The sequence below is a fragment of the Homo sapiens genome, chromosome 15 (genome assembly GCF_000001405.40).
Source record: "Homo sapiens chromosome 15, GRCh38.p14 Primary Assembly".
Classification (NCBI taxonomy): domain Eukaryota; kingdom Metazoa; phylum Chordata; class Mammalia; order Primates; family Hominidae; genus Homo; species Homo sapiens.
The window spans coordinates 39,101,588-39,123,426 of record NC_000015.10 but is presented as its reverse complement, the minus strand read 5'-3'; the positions used below and the strand labels follow the sequence as shown (position 1 = coordinate 39,123,426).

Here is a 21,839-nt window from a genome sequence, read left to right as displayed (position 1 = left end):
TGGGACTACAGGCACCCGCCACCACGCCCAGCTAATTTTTTTTTTTGTATTTTTAGTAGATACGGGGTTTCACCGTCTTAGCCAGGATAGTCTCGATCTCCTGACCTTGTGATCCACCTGCCTCGGCCTCCCAAAGTGCCGGGATTACAGGCGTGAGCCACCGCGCCCGGCCAAGAAGACACTGTTTTATATTAAATGTCTTTCTTAGTGCCTTTCGTTTTATTTACTACATGCACTTTATTATATATTGCTTTTTTCTTTATTGTTACGGATGTGGTATCTTAAAACAGCAGCCAGATTTCATCAGTTTGGGGGAAAAGGACCACATCTTTTATTCTCTCCATATCCTACACACTACCTAACAGTGCTAGACATACAAAGGGTGCTTCAAAAATACTTGTTAATTGAATAAAGTATGAGTAAAAAGAAAGACTCTCTCTGAGTTATAACTCCATTGAAATTTCCTCAGCAGAATGGCCCCCATACTTCATAGCTGCCTCTATGTCTTTACATAACAATCTCGGTTCTTTCTTTCTTAAATCATTTTCCTCCAACCTCTGAGCTTCTTTGCCCATTAGATGGGACCAGGATCAAGTAATATGCTGTACAACATTTGATACCATTTGGTGGCTTCCTGAGTAGTGGTCTGTTTAAAGCCATAAGCATACCTTCCTAATCTTGTAGAGCTTTCCTTTAATAGGCTAATCTTAATCAGACTATCTATGTAGCCACCCTTTATCTTTCCAACCATATATTCCCACATGCTACTGCCCCAGCTCACACACTTTGGGAGGCTCTAATCATAAGAATATACGTGTAAACTTCACACAGAACTTACCTGGGGCTGTAAAAGTGTTACAGGCAGATAGAGAATGGGCCTGAGAGTTTAAGAAATTTCACCAGAAACACAGAGCAAATAAGAGGTAGGCCTAGAACTCCCCCAGGTCCTGAAACTCTAAGTTTTCTTTCTCCCATGGTAGGCTGTTTCTTACGAAATTGAAAAACTGAGATTGTAGTAAGTAGGATGAAGTCGGGATGATGTGTATATAAAATGAAACTAAGCTCCAGGTACACATCTCTTACAAAGAGCCCCACCTGGAATACAATTTCTCTGCAAACTTTACCACCCTCGAAAAAAATTGTTTGGGAGCCTCATAAAGTACCTCCTCAGACAGTATGTTAGAAAGTATGATTTCTGAAATGGGAGTGAGAGGATGAAGTATTTGCCTTCTCTGGGGTCTGGACGCAAGAGAATTATTCCTGAGAGGGAGATTCTTTCCTCATTAGTGGCAGCATGATGTATATGGCTGACCCATTACCCGCTCTCATAGGGTATAGCTGGGCATCTCTGTTTTAGCAAAGAGAATAATTCCTTTGCCATGAATGTCCATGGCTGAAGCACACAGAAAGAAGAGTAGATCTGATCAAAGAGCACATCCATGTTCACGGGTAGAACCATGGGCCCAGAGTGGGATGCTATACTGTACACAGTGAATGTGCTTCCTGCCTCCCTGTCTCCATCTGCACAATTGCCTAGCTCTGTGCTGTTTCTATGACTGTGGAGTCAGGTTGTCACTGCCACCCTCACCCTACTAAATGTCAAGATGCCCCATGTGTGAGGCAAGCTGGTGGATAGACACTGCTACTGCACGCTGACCAAGCTGCTTTTCTGGGCTTTGGCTTCCTTGGCTTTTTCCTGCAGAACTTAAAGATGCTCCCTGGAAGTGCCCGGTATCTTTGAAGCAGACTGAGGTCCCTTGAAGGTGGAATAGACTTTTCTCTCTTCTGCCTCCTAGGCAGACTGTTCTCAGAAAGTCTCTCTGCTAGAGCTGTTTAAATTCAAGCAATCAGTGATGCTTGTTACCAAGCAGTGACCAGCTTGCATAAGGACATCCTCATTGTTGCTCCTCTTTCCTCTGTGCTACACTCTCCATTTCCCCCTGCTCCTTAATAACGGGATAGCACATGAGATTTTGCTTTAGGTTTTGTAGCTAGGAATGTCAGCTAAGATAAGCATAGAGGCAGGAGAAAAGTTGAGATTCTGAAATAAAACTATTCAACCTCATTCATTACAACCCAGTCTGGCTTCTACATCTACCACATCACCAATAATCTATTTTTGTAGTTGCTTTTTTTTTTCAATTTTATTTTAGCTTCAGGGGGTACATGTGCAGGTTTGTTACCTGGGTACAGTGCAGGATGCTGAGGTTCGGGGTACAAATGAACACAGTATGGAGCGTAGCAGCCAACAGTTCGTTTTTCAACATTTGCCCTCCCCCTTCCACCTCTAGTAGTCCCTTGTGTCTACTGTTGCCATCTTTCTGTCCTTGAGTACCCAGTGTTTAACTCCCACTTACAAGTGAGAACATGTGGTGATTGGTTTTCTGTTCCTGTGTTAATTTGCTTAGGATAATGGCTCCAGCTGCATCCATGTTGCTGCAAAGGGCATGATTTCATTATTTTTTATGGCTGCATATGCATAATATTCTATGGGGATGTATATCCCACATTTTCTTTATCCGGTCTAGCACTGATGGACACCTAGGTTAATTCCATGTCTTTGCTATGCTGAATAGTGCTGTGATGAACATGCAAGTGCATGTGTCTTATTGGCAGAACAATTTGTTTTTCGTGTGTGTATATATCCAGTAATGAGATTGCTAGGTTGAATGAGATTTCCGTTTTTAAGTTCTTTTAGAAATCTCCAAACTGCTTTCCACAGTGGCTGAACTAATTTACATTCCCACCAACAGTGTTCCCTTTCTCCACAGCATCACCAATATCTGTTGTTTTTTGACTTTTTGATAATAGCTATTCTGCCTGGTGTGAGATAGTATCTCATTGTGGTTTTGATTTGCATTGCTCTAACGATTAGTGATGTGGAGCATTTTTTTCACATGTTTGTTGGCAGGTTATATGTCTTCTTTTGAGAAATGTCTGTTAATGTTCTTTGCCCACTTTTTAGTGGGGTTGTTTTTCTCTTGTAAATTTGTTTAAGTTCCTTATAGATTCTGGATATTAGATCTTTGTCAGATGCGTAGTTTGTAAATATTTTCTCACATTCCATAGGTTGTCTGTTTACTCCGTTAATAGTTTCTTTTGCTATGCCGAAGCTCTTTAGTTTAATTAGGTCTCATTTGTCAATTTTTGTTTTTGTTGCAGTTGCATTTCCAGACTTAGCCATAAATTCTATTCCAGGGCAAGTTTCCAGAATGGTGTTTATTGGGCGTTCTTCTAGGATTCTTATAGTTTGATGTCTTATATTTAAATCTTTAATTCATCTTGACTTAATTTTTGTATATGATGAAAGGTAGGGATCCAGTTTCATTCTTCTGCACATGGCTAGCCAGCTATCTCAGCACCATTTATTGAATATGAACTCCTTTCCCCACTGCTTATTTTTGTCAACCTTGTCAAAGCTTAGATGGCTATAGGTGTGAGGCTTTATTTCTGGGTTCTCTATTCTGTTACATTGGTTTATGTGTCTGTTGTTGTATCAATACCGTGCTGTTTTGGTTACTCTAGCCTTATTCTATTGTTTAAGATTGCATAATGTATTTGCTTAGGATTGCTTTGGCTATTTGGGCTCTTTTTTGTTCTGTATGAATTTTAAAATAGTTTTTTCCAATTCCATGAAAAATGACATTGGTAGTTTGATAGGAATAGCATTGAATCTGTAGATTGCAGTATGGCAGTAGTGGCAGATTGCAGTAGTGGCTGTATGGCCACTATAACTATATTGATTCTTCAAATCGATGAGTATAGAATGTTTTTCCATTTGTTTGTATCATCTATCATTTCTTTTAGCAGTGTTTTGTAGTCCTCCTTGTAGACATCTTTCACCTCCATGATAAGATGTATTCCTAGGTATTTTGTTCTTGTTGCTGTTGTTGCTATTGTAACTGAAATTGCATTCTTAATTTGGCTCTCAGCTTGAATGTTATTGGTGTATAGAAATGTTACTGACTTTTGTATACTGATTTTGAATACCGAAACTTTACTGAAATTATTTATCTGTTCTAAGGACTTTTTGGCAGAGTATTTAGAGTTTTCTGGTTATAGAATAATATTGTCCGTGAAGAAAGATAGTTTGACTTCTCCTTTTCCTATGTGGACGTCTTTTATTTCTTTCTCTTGCCTGATTGCTCTGGCTAGGCTAGGACATTCAAGTACTATGCTGAATAGAAGTGGTGAGAGTGGGCATCCTTGTCTTATTCCAGTTCTCATAGAGAATGAGTCTAGCTTTTGCCTGTTCAGTATGATGTTGACTGTGTGTTTCTCATAGATGACTCTTATTATTTTGAGGTATGTTTCTTTGATACCTAGATTCTTGAGGGTTTTAACAAGAAGGATGTTGGATTTTATCAAAATATTTTTCTACATCTACTGAGATTATTATATAGTTTTCAAAAATTCTATTTATGTGGTTAATCACATTTATTGATTTTTCTATGTTGAACTAAACTTGTATCCCAGGAATAAAGCCTACTTGATCCTGGCGAATTAACTTTTTGATGTGCTGTGGGATTCAGTTTACTAGTGTTTTCTTCTGGATTTTTGTGTGTATGTTCATCAGGGATATTGGCCTGTAGTTTTCTTTTTTTGTTCTGTCTTTGCCAGGTTTTATTGTGAGGGCGATGCTGACTTCATAAAATGAGTCAGGGAAAAACCTCTCCTCCTGATTTTTTTGGAATCCTTTCAGCAGTGTTTGTACCAGCTCTTCTTTGTATGTCTGTTAGAATTTGGCTGTGAATTCACCGGATCTGGGCCTTTTATGGTTAGTAGCCTTTTTATTACTCATTTAATTTTGGAATTTGATATTGCCCTGTTCAGTGTTTCAGTTTCTTCCTGATTCAATCTTGGGAGATTTTTTCCAGGAATTTATCCATTTCCTCTACAGTTTCTAGTTTGTGTGCACAGAGGTGTTCAAAATAGTCTCTGAGGATCCTTTGTATTTCTGTAGGATCAGTTGTACTGTCATGCTTGTCATTTCTGATTGTGCTTATTTGGATCTTCTGTCTTTTTTGTTAATCTAGCTAACAGTCTGTTGATCATTTTTATCCTTGCAAAGAACAAATTTTTGGTTTTGTGGAATCTTTGTATAAATCTTTGGGTCTCAATTTCATTCAGTTCTGCTCAATTTTAGTTCTTTTCTTCTGCTAGCTTTGGAGTTAGTTTGTTCTTGTTTTTCTAGTTCCTCTTGGTGGGTGTTAGATCGTTAATTTTGAGATCTAACTTTTTGAAGTAGGCATTTTATGCTATAAACTTTCCCCTTAACACTGCCTTTGCTGCATCCCGTAGATTTTGATATGTTGTGTCTCTGTTTTCACTTATTCAAATATTTTTTGAAATTTCTGCCTTGAATTCTTTGTTTACCCCAGAGTCATTCAGGAGCAAGTTGTTTAATTTCCATGTAATTGTGTGGGCTTAAAAGATCTTCTTGGTATTGAATTCTATTTTTATTCCACTGTGGTTCAAAAGTATGTTTTCAAATTTTTTGAATTTATTGAGACTTTATGGCTGAGCATGTGGTCAATCCTGGAGTATATTCTGTGTGCAGATGAGAAGAATGTATATTCTGTAGTTGATAGGTGGAGTATTCCGTAGATGTCTATTGGGTTTAATTGATCAGGTGTCGAGTTTAAATGCAGAATTCCTTTGTTAGTTTTCTGCCTTGATGATCTGTCTAATGCTTTCAGTGGGGTGCTGAAGTTCCCCACTATTATTGTGTGACTGTCTAAGTCTTTTCACAGGTATAGAAGTACTTGTTTTATGAATCTCAATGCTCCAATGTTGGGTGCATATATATTTAGGATAGTTATGTCTTCTTGTTGATTTGAACCCTTTATCACTATGTAAGGTCCTTCTTTATCCTTTTTTTTAATGTTGTTGTTTTAAAGTCTCTTTTATCTAAGAATAGTGACCCCCTGCTCTCTTGTCTTTTCCATTTATATAGTAGATCTTTCTCCAACCCTTTACATTAAGCCTATAAGTGTTGTTGCATGTGAGATGGCTCTCTTGAAGACAGTAGATGGATAAGTTTTCTTTCTTTATCTAACTTGCCACTTTATGCCTTTTAAGTGGGGCATTTATACCATTTACATTCAAAGTTTATATTGATATGTGATGTTTTGATCCATCTTGAGGTTGTTAGCTGGTTACTTTGTAGTTTCTATTGCGCAGTTGCTTTATAGGGCCTGTGGGCTATGTGCTTACATATGTCTTTGAGGTAGCAGGTATTGCTCTTTTGTTTCCATGGTTGGAACTCCCTTAAGGATGTCTTGTAAGGCTGGTCTAATGGTAACAAATTCCTTTAATGCATGCTTGTCTGGAAAAGATTTTATTTCTTTTTTGCTTTTGAAGCTTGGTTTGGAGAGAGATGGAAATCTTGGCTAGAATTTGTTCTCTTTAAGAGTACTGAAAATAGGCCTTAAATCTCTCCTGGATTATAAGCTTTCTGCTGGGAAGTTTGCTGTTAGCCTGATGGGGTTCCCATTTTGTGTGATCCGCCCTTTTTCTCTTGCTGCCTTCAAGATTGTTTTCTTCAGTTTTGACCTTGGACAATCTGGTGACTATATACCTTGGTGATGTTCATTTTATATAGTATAAGTGTTCTCCGGATTTTTTGTATTTGAATTTCTACCTCTCTAGAAAGATTAGGGAAGTTTTCTTGAATTATTCCCTTGAATATGTTTTCAAAGTTGTTTACTTTTTCTGCTTCTCTCTTGAAAATGCCAATAATTCATAGGTTTTGTCACTTTACATAATCCTGTATTTCTCAAAGACTTGATCATTTTTTAAAATTCTTTTCTTTTTATCTTTGTCTGACTGGTTTAGTTCAAAAGACAGGTCTTCAAATTCCGAAATTCTTTCTTCTGCTTGGTCCAGTCTATTGATAAAGCTTTCAATTGTATTTTGAAATTCCTTAAGTGAGTTCTTCAATTGCAGACACTCTGACTGATTTCTTTTTAAGATGTTTATCTCTTCTTTCATTTCTTGGACTGCTTTATAAGTTTCCTTGTGTTTATTTTCAACCTTGTCTCGGATCTTGTTTAGCTTCCTTCTAATCTATGCTTTGAATTCTTATTCTGTCATTTCTGAGTTTTTGCTTTGATTGGGGACCATTGCAGGGGAGCTCGTGCAATCTTTTGGTCATGTCACTACATTCAGATTTCTCATTGTGCCAGAATTCTTGCACTCATTTCTTTTTATCTGGAGACTCTGGCATTTTTAATTTTTGTAATTATGTTCATGTGAGTGGGTATTTTTCTTTTTCTTTATTTCTTTCCATATAATGTTATTATTTTCTGTTTCCCTTTTCACCTCTCCCTAGGGGATATGATTATAGAGAATGCTGGATAGGGTCTTTTGGGTTGTTTCTATAGCCCTATGCATTTCTTTCAGCAGGTTTTATATTGGGCAGTGCAGTTTGACCCACAAGCCCATAGATGACATTTATTAGTAAGAGCTGGCTGCAGCCAATGTGGCTGGGTATGTACTTGATTATTCCTTACTGGCAGAAGTTCTCTGTTGCCTCAGGCAATGGGCTGATTCATGGAATACACAGTCATCTGAGCTCCCTGCTTAGCCACCAGAGTGCAGGGCCCACTAAGTGTAGGACCAGACCAGGCAGGGTTGCCTACAGATCCCTCAATGGCAGGCACAAGCACCAGCACTGAGGGAGAATCCAGTGGGCAGCCATGAAGCACCTAGAGATGTGCCTACACATGGAGCTGGGAAACCTCCTTGGCCCCAAGTTCTCTGCACCCCTGGGTGGGGAATGGCCTAAACTTCTAATCCAGGAGGGTGGGTGCTCCAGTTACCTGGAGATCTGCCTAAGCATGAAGCAGAGAGGGTCCCCCAACACCAAGATCTTTGCACAGGAGGAGTGGGGTGACTCAGACTGCTGAACCAGGAAAGCAGTTGCTCTGAGTGACAGGACATCTGCCTGAGCATGGAGTGGAGAGGGCCCCCCGCCTCCCCAGCCCATGCATCAGGATCTCTGCACAGGAATGGTAGGATAACTCAGACGGTTGAACCAAGTGAACAGTTCCTCTGAATGCCTGAAGATCTGCCTGGGTGGGAGGCAGAGAGGGCTCTTCTGCACCAAGCTATCTGCACAGGAGGGGTATGGTGACTCAGGCAAGCTGGTGCTCTGAATGCCTTGAAATCTGTTTGGGCATGCAGTAAAGAGAGACTCACCACACAAGGTCTCTGCACAAGAGAGGTAGGGCTATTCAGGTTGGTAGACTATACAAGTAGGTGCTCTGAATGCCTGGAGACCTGCCTAGACAAGTGTCAGAGAGGACCCCTGCACCCCATACTACAATCTATGTCCAGGAAGGGTTGGGTGGCTCAGGCTGCTGGACCAGGCAAATGGGTGCTCCAGATACCTGCATTTTTGCCTGCATGTGAAGCAGGGAGAGACCCACTGCACCATAATCTATTTTGAGGAAGGGTGGAGCAGCTCAAGCTGCTGAACTAGGAAAATGGGTGCTCCAAATGTCTGGAGATCTGCTTGGTCATGGAGCAGAGATAGCCTTGCTACACCACAATCTATGTACTTAAATGGTGGGGTGACTCAGGCTGTTGAAGCAGGTGAATGAGTACTCTGAATGCCTGCAGATCTGCTAGGTGTGGAGCAGAGAGAACCTGACTGCGCCACAATCTATGTCCAGGAAAGGTGGGGTAGCTCAGGCTGCTGGTCCAGGCAAGCAGGTGCTCTGAATACCTGCTATTTTCTCTGGGGATGGAGAAGAGAGGACACCACTTTGTACCCCAATCTCAGGAAAGCAGGGTACGTACACCAGCAGTGGCACATGCAGATCAGTTCCTGCTTGCCAAGCTGGACTTTGCTGCAAGTGTTGCCACCCAGGAGAAACTGCAGCTGTAGTATCTCTACTCCTGCCCCAGGCTTGGGATGGGGGATAGCATATTTCCAGGGTCTACTTCCGAGGCATTTCCCACAGTTGTAGCTGTGGATGTCCCATACCCTGCTCCAGAGCAGGTGCTTCAATTTCTGGCCTGAAACTACAATGCTTGCATAGCCAGACTGCCAGGACACCAAGGAATGGCTGACTTTGTATGCACCTGGATTAAAAATGGCATCCTGCTTTGAATCTTGGGTCTTGAAAAATATCTGCAGCTTTTCCTGGTGTCTTTTCCTCACAAAGTCTTCAAGCCTCTCCCAAGTTAGCTGCAGGGCTTGGTAGGAGACAGTGGAAAGGTGAGCCTGAGTTGTTCCTATTCCTGATTGGAAGGTGATTCACAGAGGGAGGCTCTCTGCCTCTCTTGTGTACTGGGGTTTCACTTACTTTTATCAGCTGACGCTGTCATGTGGGCTGTTTGCTGGCATTCTCCTTTCCAGGACCTGCGGTGTCCTTCCCAATTCCAGTGGACTCCCATTTTCCTTCTTGAATTAAAGCTCACAGAGTTTATCTTTTTGTACTATCTTGCTATTTCCAAGTGGCTGAGTCACGCTGAAAGCCTCTAATATGCCATCTTGGGGGAAAAAAACCCTTACTGTCACAAAATCTTCATCTTCTTTGATGTTTGAACAAATGACATGAGCTGTCTAACATAAACAGGGACCTCTTGATCCTTTTAAAGCCATCCTACCCACTGGCTTCTAAGACACCAAATCCTCTGCTTTCTTCCTTTCCCTCTGACCCTTCCTTCTCAGGCTTCTTCTCTGTCTCTTTCACCTCTGTTCTCTAAATGTCAGAGTAGCCTGGGGCTTAATCCTTCTACATGCTCTTCCTATGTGAATTCATCCACCAGTGTGGCTTTAAATAAATAACTTCTCCATGTTGATACTCCTGAATCTTTTCCTTTACTTTTTTCTTTGTGTTATAACCTCCTTGCCATCCCCACTTGCATATCCTAAAACAAATACATCTAAAACAGAGCACTTATTCTTCCCCAAACTGCTCACTTGATGTTCTTTCCCCATTTCAATAAGTCGTACCTTTATTGACCCAGTTGCTCTTGAAGAAGCCCAGTAGTCATCATTTTGACCCCTCACACAAGCCATTAATAGATCATATCATTTCTGCTCTGAAATAGATTTTTGAATCTGCCATTTTCACTGCCACTATCTCAGTCCAAGCCACCATCATGTCTCATGTAGATTTCTGCAATAACCAGCTAACTGGAGACCTTGTATCTATTTGCCCTGTGTCCAGTAATTTCTCCATTCAACCATCAGAGAGATTCTTAAAAATATATATATCAAACTGTGATGCATTCCAGTAAAACCCTTCAGTGGTTTACCATTGCATTTAGAATAGAAATTTAGAATCCTTAACATGGCCTACATGACCTGCATGATCTGACCCTCACTCATTTCTCCAACTTCATACTGTTCTAACATTTTCTTTCACTGCACTAGCCTTAAGGACTTGCTGTCTGTTTCTCAAACATCTAAGCTATTTTTGATTCAGGGCCTTCAGATGTATTGTTCCCTGCTACCTGGAATAGCCTTCCTTTAGACTTTCCCTATGGAAGTACTAATTATCCTACAAGTTTCAGCTGAAATGTCATTTCCCCAGAGAAATATTCCTTAACTCTTGTGTTAGTCCATTTTCACACGCTATAAAGAACTTCTCTGAGACTGGGTAATTTGTGAAGGAAAGAGGTTTAATTGACTCACAGTTCCACATGGCTGGGGAAGCTTCAGGAAACATACAATCATGGCAGAAGGCGAAGGGGAAGCCGACACCTTCTTTACAAGGCAGCAGGATGGAGATGAGAAACTGCCACTTATAAAACCATCAAATCTCGTTAGAACTCACTCACTGTCACGAAAACAGCATGGGGGAAACTGCTCTCATAATCTAATCACCTCCCACCAGGTCCCTCCCCCAATACATGGGGGCTACAATTCTGATAACAATTTGAGATGAGATTGGGGTGGGGACACAGTCCAGCCAATTAACCCCTAAATAAATTAGATTGCTATTTGTGCATATTTTATGTATGTTTAATACCTACATATCTTCCTAACTACTAATTTTGAAACATTTTGAGAATAAGTACTGGAGGACTGTAGGTCACACTCCTCACTATATATTATATTTCACAGATAACATAGTACTTGGCACATAATGGGTAATGGTTTGGCTCTGTGTCCCCACCCAAAACTTACCTCAAATTGTAATCCCCAGATGTTGAGGGAGGGACCTGGTGCAATGTCACTGGATCATGGAGGCAATTTCTCCCATGCTGTTCTTATGATAGTGAGAGAATTCTCATGAGATCAGATCGTTTAAAAGTGTTTGGCAGTTCCCCCGTCATGGGCTCTCTCTATCCTGCCACCTGGTAAGATGTGCCTTGCTTTCCCTACAACTTCTGCGTGATTGTAAGTTTCCTGATGCCTCCCCAGCCATGTGGAACTGTGAGTAAATTAAACCTCTTTTGTTGATACATATATATACATATTTTTTTTTTTTTGAGACAGAGTCTCACACTATCACCTGGGCTGGAGAGTGCAATGGCACAATCTTGGCTCACTTCAACCTCCACCTCCCAGGTTCATGCCATTCTCCTGCTTCAGCCTCCTGAGCAGCTGGGATTACAGGTGCATACCACCACACCCCGCTAATTTTTTGTATTTTTAGTAGAGACGGGATTTCACTATGTTGGCCAGACAGGTCTCAAACTCCTGACCTTGTGATCCGCCCGCACTGGCCTCCCAAAGAGCTGGGATTACAGGCATGGGCCACCAAGTTTGGCCGGGTAATATCTTTATAGCAGTGTGAGAATGGGCTGATAGAGTGGGCACTCAGTGCATCTAAATGGATTGATTGACTAAGATTTGGAAGCTGTAGGGCCTCTACAGAAGACTGACTGATTAAAATTACAGAAGACAATTATGAATTCCTCTATTCTTTTCTTCATTTTCAGTTCTAATATTGTCAGTTGCCAGGTGTTCTATCTTCACAGTCTGTTTGGACTATAACAGTAAATCTTATGAAATTCTTCAGACATAGAATCATAGGTAGATGGAGCCTTCTTGAGTACCTAGTCAAATTATTATCTGATATGTACATTTCATCTTCAAAATACTCAGCATGTAACTACCCTTTCTCTGCTTGAAAACTGTACCTGCAGGGACATGGAATGCTTTATTTTCTTTGACAGTTGATTGCATCTTTGGACATCTCTAATTGTTATAATGTTGTTTTTAAGTATTCATATCAAGTCAAAATTGATCTTCAGTTCACCTGGAACTTCTATCCATTGATTTAATCATGCTCTGCAGAGTCACAGCAAATAACTTTTTAGCTATAGTTGTCCTGACTCCATCAAAACTTCTGGTCTCCAAAAAATTAATTGCCAATTTCTTCAACTATTTCTGAAATATTAATTTTTGGATCAATCTCAGAATTCTATACTTGGTTTCCTTGTTACAAAACAGTTTTCCAAGGCACTAAAACTTGTGTGACTCAAAACTGACCACAATAGTGGAGCCTTATGACAGGAATAGAAAAAATCCTGCACCAAGTCACTTTTTTTCATGGTACCATTTATTTAATTGGTAGCATGTGTGGGCATGTGAAGTGGGCACAGTGAGCCTGGTGGGCAAAATTGCCTTCTGGATCTTTGGTTTGGATTCGGGATGGGATGTTGAATGTTTGTAGTCTGTAATTTAAGTTATTCCTACAAGGATATTATATGTTAATTTGACCCTTAAAAAGTAGTAATCACCTCAGTTCCATCTCAAGAGCTTATGGTCTTAGAAATCAGAGCAGGCAGCTGATATAAAGTGGAAAGAGATTAGGGCATGTGCTGTTTAAATGATCCATTGTAAGACAGTCTTGGTGGTAGGAAGAGCATTTTTTTTCTTTTGTGGTAAGAGGATAAGAAATGATGTGCTTTATGTGCTGAAGGAAGGGGAGGTATGAGTAATTCTTTCCTATGCTTGGGGATGGTGGTGGTGGACATGCAGACAATAGACACAGAATGCCTTGATCTTGAAATCACTGCTTGACATGGAATAGTTAGATACCAGCCAGTCAAGAAAATTCTCCATTTTACCAAATTTAGAGATTTGATCTTGAGCCCTAAGCCCAGGAGAAGATGTATATAAAGGTAGCAGACATGAAGGGACCTTCACTCTCAGCGTGAGGTGCTTCCTTGATGAGGAGGCAGCAGGTCTGGTTTTTATTTAACTGCCTCCTGCTATCATAGCATATTAGAAATAAAATTACATTGACATCCAATGTAGAGGAAACATACCTCCTCATCAATGAGACTTGTCAGTCTGAGGTTTTGCATTTGAACCAAGGTCTTTAGCAGTTACCACATAGGTTGCAACTGGCAGAAGAAGGTAGGGACCCTCTGACTAAATCTGATGGCATATGTAACCACAAATATGGAGAAGAGATGTATTAAAAATCTCCAACCTATAGTTTATTTTCTGACAATCTGATAAGAAACATCTCCTAAATTTTCCGGAATAAGTGAAAATTCCGTGATTCCCATGGTAGTCTTAGGATCATTGCCAATAGTGTAGAAGTGTGGCCTGGTTTGACAAAGTAATCATCTCTCTTCCCAATACTCCTAGTACTGAGATGGAGACCTCACTCTGGCCTTCAGTCATCTATTCCACCTTTTTTCTCTGTTAGAAAAATCTTCATGGAGTGGCAAAAGTTGTTTACCTGAAGCTCACAAGATGTATCCAGAAAATATCACCAGGGATCAGATCAAGCCTGACCCCCATTTTGTAAGTCAACCTGTCAACTACTTGAACATGTTCTTCGTGTTGCATAGGTAATGTAGTGGTGAGGTATTTGGATTTGGAGCCAGAAGAGTGCATGTAAACACGGGGAACACTCCCTACAACATAGTAAATACACAATAAGAATAAACTGTTATTTTTATTCATATTCCTAATTTCCTCAACTTTTCTTTACAATATGATATGCAACTTTGAGCATACAGACCTTACTTTTCTATATATTCAAAGTACAAATCTTGTCCTCATAGTGAAATTAGGTGTCAGTATTCTTAGAGATAGGGTGGACTGAGACACTCAATCATCACCTACCCAGAACTTCTGACAGTTATGCTAGGGCTATGGAGAGAATTCTGGAGATGAGTCTCAAGTCTCCAAACACTATAGATATGAGGCTTTTATTATCTGGCTCCCATTTGCAGCCTGCCATTGGTGACAGGTCTATTGTAATATGCCCAGACAATTGAAATCTTTAGTAAAGTTATTAAACTCATGAAAGGTTAGATAAGGTGGATTTTTGGTAAAAACCAGAGAAGAGTCTAATCTTCGTGCCTGAAATGATGCATACAAAGATGTTCATGCATGGAGCAGAAAGAAGCATGAGGAACGAGCCAATGCCTAGAGATCAGGGGAAGAGCTGTGGGCAGTTGCAGTTTGGTTCAAGTTAAATAAGATCTCCAAGGTGCAAGCATACCTCAACTAACATTCCTACCTTCAGTTCAGTTTATGCCCTGATTGAATGAACTTTGTCCTAGCTCTTCCTTATTCTCTCATATCAATGTAAGAACTGTGACATGTTCATCCACTATAGTAACTAAGGTCTACTCTTCACCTGCTTGTTCTGGGCCAGTCACTCTCAGGATTTCCTTCTCTTTCTTTTTTCTGTCTCTCTTAAGTACTTCTGCGCTTTACCTCTCTTTCCCAAAGAGAATTACATCTGAGGAATTTGCAGTGAAAAATTACTTCATGAAAAATGAATGTAAGTCTCTTATGGCAGTTCTACAGAATGCTGAGTTAAACAGAAAAGACTTCGGAGTTCGCTTCACTGAAGGGCTTCCCTGTGCCATTCAGTCTATTTTGTTCAAACATTCTCAAAGACCAGGAGCTCATGACTTTGGCTGGTTCCGTCATTCTACCACTGGGCAACTCTGGTTGCTGAAAAGATGTTTCTTAACATCAGCAGAAATCAGCTTCCCTGTATTTCTTATTGTTGGGACTAATTCATCTACTTGGAGCTACACAGAAATACCCTGTTTCTACTCCCACATAACAGAAAATATGTAAAGATAGTTTTAACATAGCATGCCCCACTTCCTGTCAACTCTTCTGCTCCCTTTCCACCTCCTGCCCCTGCATACACACACACACACACACACACACACACACACATATGCACAGGCATACTTGACCAATTATTCTTTTCTTCAGGCAAAAACCAGCCAGTTATTTCATATATTCTTCATATGACTCAATGAACCATTGATATGTCACCATTCTGGTTACTCAATCCAAAAATGGTTGAGCCAGCCTCATTCCTACAGCCAATTTAGCAAAGAGGGTTAAGAGTGAGAGAGGAAAGTTGGGGGGGACTCATATTTATGGAACACTTACCAGATTCTTCAGATATCTGGTTCAGTTCAAGTTTTAGTGGGCCCCTCCACCTTTGGCCTGGTTGACAGAAATCAGTCACGCCTAGATACATAAAACCTTTCCTGCTTGATCCTGACTTGCTATTAGTTGATAACTCATGGCTCCTCCTGCTGTGATTTTGCTTCTCACTTTAACTTTTCAAGACTTACCGTCATTCTTCTTCTGCAAGACAGTTGGATTAAGTTCCATTCTTCCAGCAGATAACATGAGGGCTGAATGTAAGAATTTTCTTCTTTAGCATTAAAGCCACAGAATGGAATTCATATCCTGAGCATTGAGTTGGCAAAGAGCTGCTGAATCCACCATGAGGAAATATTGGCAGGGAGGGGTAAACAGGAGAATATAGATAAAGAAGGAAAAATTTATCTGTACTGGCCCCATACTCGTCTTGGGGATAGGCATCAGTAAAATATAGTCTCTGCCCTCATATAGAAATCTAGTTCAGAAATGTTAGGCCACTGATCCTCATGTAATCCTTCCATAAGAAAAGCAATATGGTATCATGAAAAGTGCTAAACTGGAAAGTAGAAAACTGTGAACAAAATCTCTAATAAGTTGTCTCACTCTTCTTGGCCTCCTCCTGTTCCTCATATACAGACAAGGAAGATGGCACAAATTGAAAGCTCTGTAAGGACATTGGAATACTAAGGATTGGTGATTCTAAGGTTTTTAACACATAGGGATTGTAAGATAATAAGGTAAATTGGAAGAAAAGCTCCAGGACTGAAATAGTTAATTCGTGACTTCACATTAAAAAGCATTCATTGAATATTTAACATTAAGTAGATATTAGCTGTTAATCTTTAGCCGGGCTGGTTTCAATATTTGACATTTAAATTAAATAATCATACCACATTTAATAATAAAGTCACTGTATGTTAAACAAATACTACTTAGTTATTGAAACCATATGTTAGTCTAACCACATTGTGAGGGATTCGCATGTTTTCAATAACCATCTGATCTTATTTCACGTAGAGCACAATGCACGTACTATACCATGAAAAGCAGAGAGGCTATTTATGTCAGCCCTGAATGATTTTAAAATAATTGTATTAAGTTTTACTTTCCTACTGATCCCCCTAGCTAATAACCTATCTACCCATTGTTCAGGTGCTGTCAGTGAAGTTTACTTGTCTTCCTGAGTTCTTATTGTATTCCTGTGTTCTTATTGTATTGTACCTGCATTGCCCAAGTGAGTACCACTAATGCCAATCAACCCTTCCCTTTGTTCATATGGTGCCAATCCACTTTGTTGAGATGATTGGCAGGAACACAAACATTTCTATTTTTAATGTTTCTCTCGGATCATAAAAGACAGACATTGCCTTAAACAGAGTGTTTCCATTTCTATTCTTCTCTCATTTAAACAAATTCACAGTTACCAAATAGGAGAATGTGAATGAGTTCTTATTGGGTCATCGTACTCCATTTTCTCAAGTACTGGTAATTTGTGTTTTTGTTATGAGTGTATTGACAATGTCTTTGCAGCCCTAGTTTATACCAATGATGTACTAGTTGTGCCTAAAGCATCTGAGGTAAAGGAAAGAAAAGAAAGTGGTGGGGAAGGGTCAGAAGAACAACACACCTCTCTTAAGATATTTCGGTGTGTTTCCCAGCCTGCTTTTGAGGTAGATCTTTTTGGGGAAGGCTGCATGTTTGCTAGAGTCAACTACCTTGTTGAAGTCCTATACAAAGTCATATAATTTAATGAATGACTTGGAAAAGACTCCCTATTCAATATTTGGTGTTGGGATAACTGGCTAGCCATACACAAAAGATTGCAGCTAGACCTCTTCCTTACACCATGCACAAAAATCAAGGTGGATTAAAGACTTAAATGTAAGACTCAATCCTACAAAAACCCTGGAAGACAACCTAGGCAGTACCATCCTGGACATAGGAACAGGCAAGGTTTCATGACAAAAACACCAAAAGCAATCACGACAAAAGCAAAAGTCGACAAGTGGGATCTAATTAAACTTAAGAGCTTCTGCACAGCAAAAGAAACTATCAACAGAGTAAACAGACAACCTATAAAATGGAAGAAAATATTTGCAAACTATGCATCTGACAAAGGTCTAATATCCAGAATCTATAAGGAACTTAAACAAATTTAAAAGAGAAAAACAACCCCATTAAAAAGCGGGCAAAAAACATGAACAGACACTTCTCAAAAGAAGATATACAATCCAGCCAATAAGCCTATTTAATAAACATCAATATCACTAATCATTAGAGAAATGCAAATCGAAACCACAGTGAGATACTATCTCACACCAGTCGGAATGGTTATTAAAAAGTCAAAAAATAACAGATGCTGGCAAGGTTGAGGAGAAAAGGAACACTTGTACACTGCTGGTGGGAGTGTCAATTACTTCAACCTTTGTAGTATGGCAATTCCTCAAAAAGCTAAAAGCAGAATTACCATTCAACCCAGCAATCCCATTAATCCCAGGTGGATATAAATCACTCTACGATAAAGATACATGCATGCGAATGTTCATTGCGGCACTATTCACAATAGCAAATGTGTGGAATCAACCTAAATGCCCATCAGTGACAGATTGGATGAAGAAAATGTGGTACATATGTACCATGGAATTCTATGCTGCCATAAAAAATGAGATCATGTTTTTTGCAGGAACATGGATGGAGCTGGAGGCCATTATCCTTAGCAAACTGACACAGGAACAGAAAGCCAAATAATGCATGTTCTCACTTATAAATGGGAGCTAAATAATAAGAACTCAAAAATGCAAACAAGGGAACAATAGACACTGGGGTCTACTTGAGGGTGGAAGGTGGGAGAAGGGAGAGGAGCAGAAAAAAAATAACTATTGGGTACTAGGTGTAGTACCTGGGTGATGAAATAATATGCACAACAAACCCTCATGGCATGTGTTTAGTTATGCAACAAACCTTCACATATACCCCCAAGCCTAAAATAGAAGTTAAAAAAATAAAGTTAAAAAATTTCTAGGAAATATATGAGATCAAGGGATGAATATGCATTTTATGTTGTATTTCACATTAGAAATGACAAGCACTGGAAAAAAAAATCAGTGGAATGGAGCTTTAGAGACTAGTCCACATCTGCATTTTGTTTGTTTGTTTGAGATGGAGTCTTGCTCTGTCACCCAGGCTGGAGTGCAGTGGCACGATCTTGTCTCACTGCAACCTCCACCTCCTGGGTTCAAGCGAGTCTCCTGCCTCAGCCTCCTGAATAGCTGGGACTACAGGCATGTGCCACCATGCCTAACTAATTTTTGTATTTTTTTAGTAGAGATGGGGTTTTGCACTGTTGGCCAGGCTGGTTTCAAACTCTTCACCTCAGGTGATCCACCCACCTTGGCCTCCCAAAGTGCTGGGATTACAGGTGTGAGCCACTGCCCCCGGCCCACATCTGCATTTTAAAGATGATCAGCTATCTAGAACATTTAAAGATTTGCCCCAAGTCACACAGCTAGTTAGTGGTGGAGTTTGCAGTCAAATCCAGGACACATAATTCATTCCTTCCAATACATTACAGGGCTGTCAAATTCTGCTTGTCTTTTCAAATCAGATTCCTATCCTTAATTTTTCCTTTTCTTAAGTCAGCAGAATGGAAGTAGTTGTAGTCCTGGTCGTCTCATCCTGCTCCCACATGGCTGTGAACACTCTTTTTTTTTGTCTTACACAGTTGTCATCTATTCTATCCCTTCCTTGAGTTCAGCCATCTGATCATGAGAACTTAGAGAGACAGGGAGGTCAGCACTGACCAAGTATTGTTTCCTGCTGTTACCTTACTTAATCTCCTTTTTATTTTAGGAGGTAAAGGAAGGAAGAGAAATGGATGGGAATGGGTCAGAGGAACAACACACACTTTTAGGAGAAAGGAGATTAAGTAATATCTGCTTCCTGTATTCCATTGTGGCCTGAATTTCTCATAATGTGGGCCCACTCATTGATTCTCTGAAGATGCAACACATGAGTTATCCTGGGACCTAAGATAATTCCTAAACTTAGGCCGAATCTATAAAATCAATGGATAAGTCCTTCTAGAACAGTTACAGCTGCAAATTTAGACCAAACTAGTCAGTAACAGTGTCAACTTGGTGACATGATTGAAATGACTGGCACCATTAGGATTCTATGAATGGGGCTTCTGGGCAGAACAAGCTAAAGTCAGAATTTGTATTGTAGCACTGCACCTGATTCCTTAAACTAATTTATATGACAGCATAATGGATGCCAGGACCTAATAGAACTTTCTCAGAGAGAATGGTTTTGATTGGGGGAAAACCAAACCAAACCGAAGAAACTACAAGATGATCCGGGGAATCTGAACTCTGACTAGATGTTTAATGACACTAAGGAACTATTGTTAAATGTTAAGTTTGTGGTAGGCTGAATAATGCCTCCTCCTCTCAAGGATGCCCATGTCCTAGTCTTTGGTACCTATAAATGTATTACCTTATATGGGCAGAAGGAATTTGGCAGATATAATTGAGTTAAGGATTACTCTGGCTTATCCAGGTAGGTCCTACATGTAATTGCAAGGTGTATTAGTCCATTTTCACACTGACATATAAAACTACGTGAGACTGGGTAATTTATAAAGAAAAGAAGTTTAATTGACTCACAGTTCCACATGGCTAAGGAGGCCTCTGGAAACTTACAATCATGGTGGAAGTCAAAGGGGAAGCAAAGTGTATTAGTCTGTTCTCACACTGCTATAAAGAAATACCCAAGACTGGGTAATTTATAAAGCAAAGAAGTTTAATGGACTCACAGTTCCACAGGGCTGGGAAGGCCTCAGTAAGCTTACAGTCATGGCGGAAGGGGAAACAGGCACCTTCACAAGGTGGCAGGAGAGAGAAGAGTGAAGAGCAAAGGGGAAAGAACCCCTTATAAAACCATCAGTTCTCATGAGAACTCACTCGCTATCACGAGAACAGTATGGGGGAACCATCCTCATGATCCAGTCACCTCCCACTGGGTTCCTCCCTTTACATGTGGCAATTATGGGGATTCCAATTTAAGATGAGATTTGGGTGGGGACACAGAGCCAAACCATATCACAAGGCATGTCTTACATGGTGGCAGGAGAGAGAGAGAGCGTGTGAGCGCAAAGGGGGAGGTGCCGCTCACTTTTAAACAACCAGATTTCATGAGAACTCCGTCACTATCATGAGAACAGCAAGTGGGAAGTCTACTCCCATGATTCAGTCACCTCCCATCAGACCCCTCCTCCCACAGGTGGGGATTGCAGTTCAAGATGAGGTTTGGGTGGGTACACAGAGCCAACCCATATTACAAGGGTTCTTAGAAAAGGGAGCCAACAAGGTCAATGAATAAAAGACCATACAGCCACAGAAGCAGAGGCTGAGTGATATAGCCAGCATCCAAGGAATGCCATTTGCAGGAAGAGGCAAGGAATTTATTCTTCCCTGTGAAGCCTTGAAAAGGAACCAGACCAGATAAGATCTTGATCCTTAAGACTCATTTCCAACTTCTGACCTCCTGAACTATAAAATGATACATTTTTGTTGCTTTACGCTAGTAAGTTTTTGGTAATTTGTTACAGGAACAATAGAGAAGTAATAAAATGCAAGAAGTCTATTATTCTGTTTTAACAGTTCTTGTCTTTTACAAGTTCATAGTATAATATTTATATGTGAATAAAACCATGTCTTAGATTTGCTACAAAATAATCCAGTGTATATGGAGAAAAGAGTGTGTGTGGTGGGGAATATTGATGAAACAAGATTGCAGATGTTGATAATTTTGAAGGTGGATAATGGGTACATGTTTAAATTTCTTTGCTCTTGTTTATATTTGAATATTTCTAAATTTAAAATTTAAAAAGGTTAGGGGCATAATGACAAGTTTTTCCTACTTAACAAATCTTCCTAGAGCTGACTTGCCTGAGACGGTCATTTTGCCTTCCTTTATTCTTTCTCTTTCCCCCATCCTCAATATTCTTAGCAAATAATGAAGGAGGAGTTCTGGTAAGATTTCTAGTGACCTGGCAGACCTGGTTGGCAGGCAGGGTATGTAATTGCTGCAGGAGAATCGGTTCTATTTGGATACAACATCAGACTGGATTTCAACAGTGCTGGGGAATCCTTCATACCACTGGTCCCATTTTTATACAAAACTGAAAGAGAAAAGGTAGAGAATACCACTGCTTCTGTTATTCATGGTGAATTTATTTAATTTGGCATTTTTATAATCACATGACATACACTAGGACAAAAAATAGTTCCATTTTCTTGGTTTCTCCCTGATAAGAATTTTGAGCACATTATCAGAGAAATGTGTCTATTCTTCAACTCTTTACATAGACAATTTTAATACAGTGGTTCTCAGTAGAGCTATGTATCAGAATTAACTATAGATTTTTGAATTTTAGCATAATTTCCAAGGCTATATCCTAGACAAAAATCAGAAGCCCCAGAACAACAGG

At 40.0% G+C, this 21,839-nt stretch overlaps 1 long non-coding RNA gene across 3 annotated transcripts in view; it reads left to right on the top strand.

Moving 5' to 3' along the window:
* The window catches only part of LOC105370777 (uncharacterized), a 556,255-nt gene that overhangs the window by 297,634 nt on the left and 236,782 nt on the right, over window positions 1-21,839 (top strand). For 2 of the 3 annotated variants that reach the window (XR_007064587.1, XR_007064586.1), the window contains exon 2: window positions 13,629-13,726. The exons of the other annotated variant lie outside the window; for it this stretch is intronic. This is a non-coding gene — a long non-coding RNA (uncharacterized LOC105370777). The remainder of the gene's footprint in view (window positions 1-13,628; window positions 13,727-21,839) is intronic. 3 annotated transcript variants of the gene reach the window in all.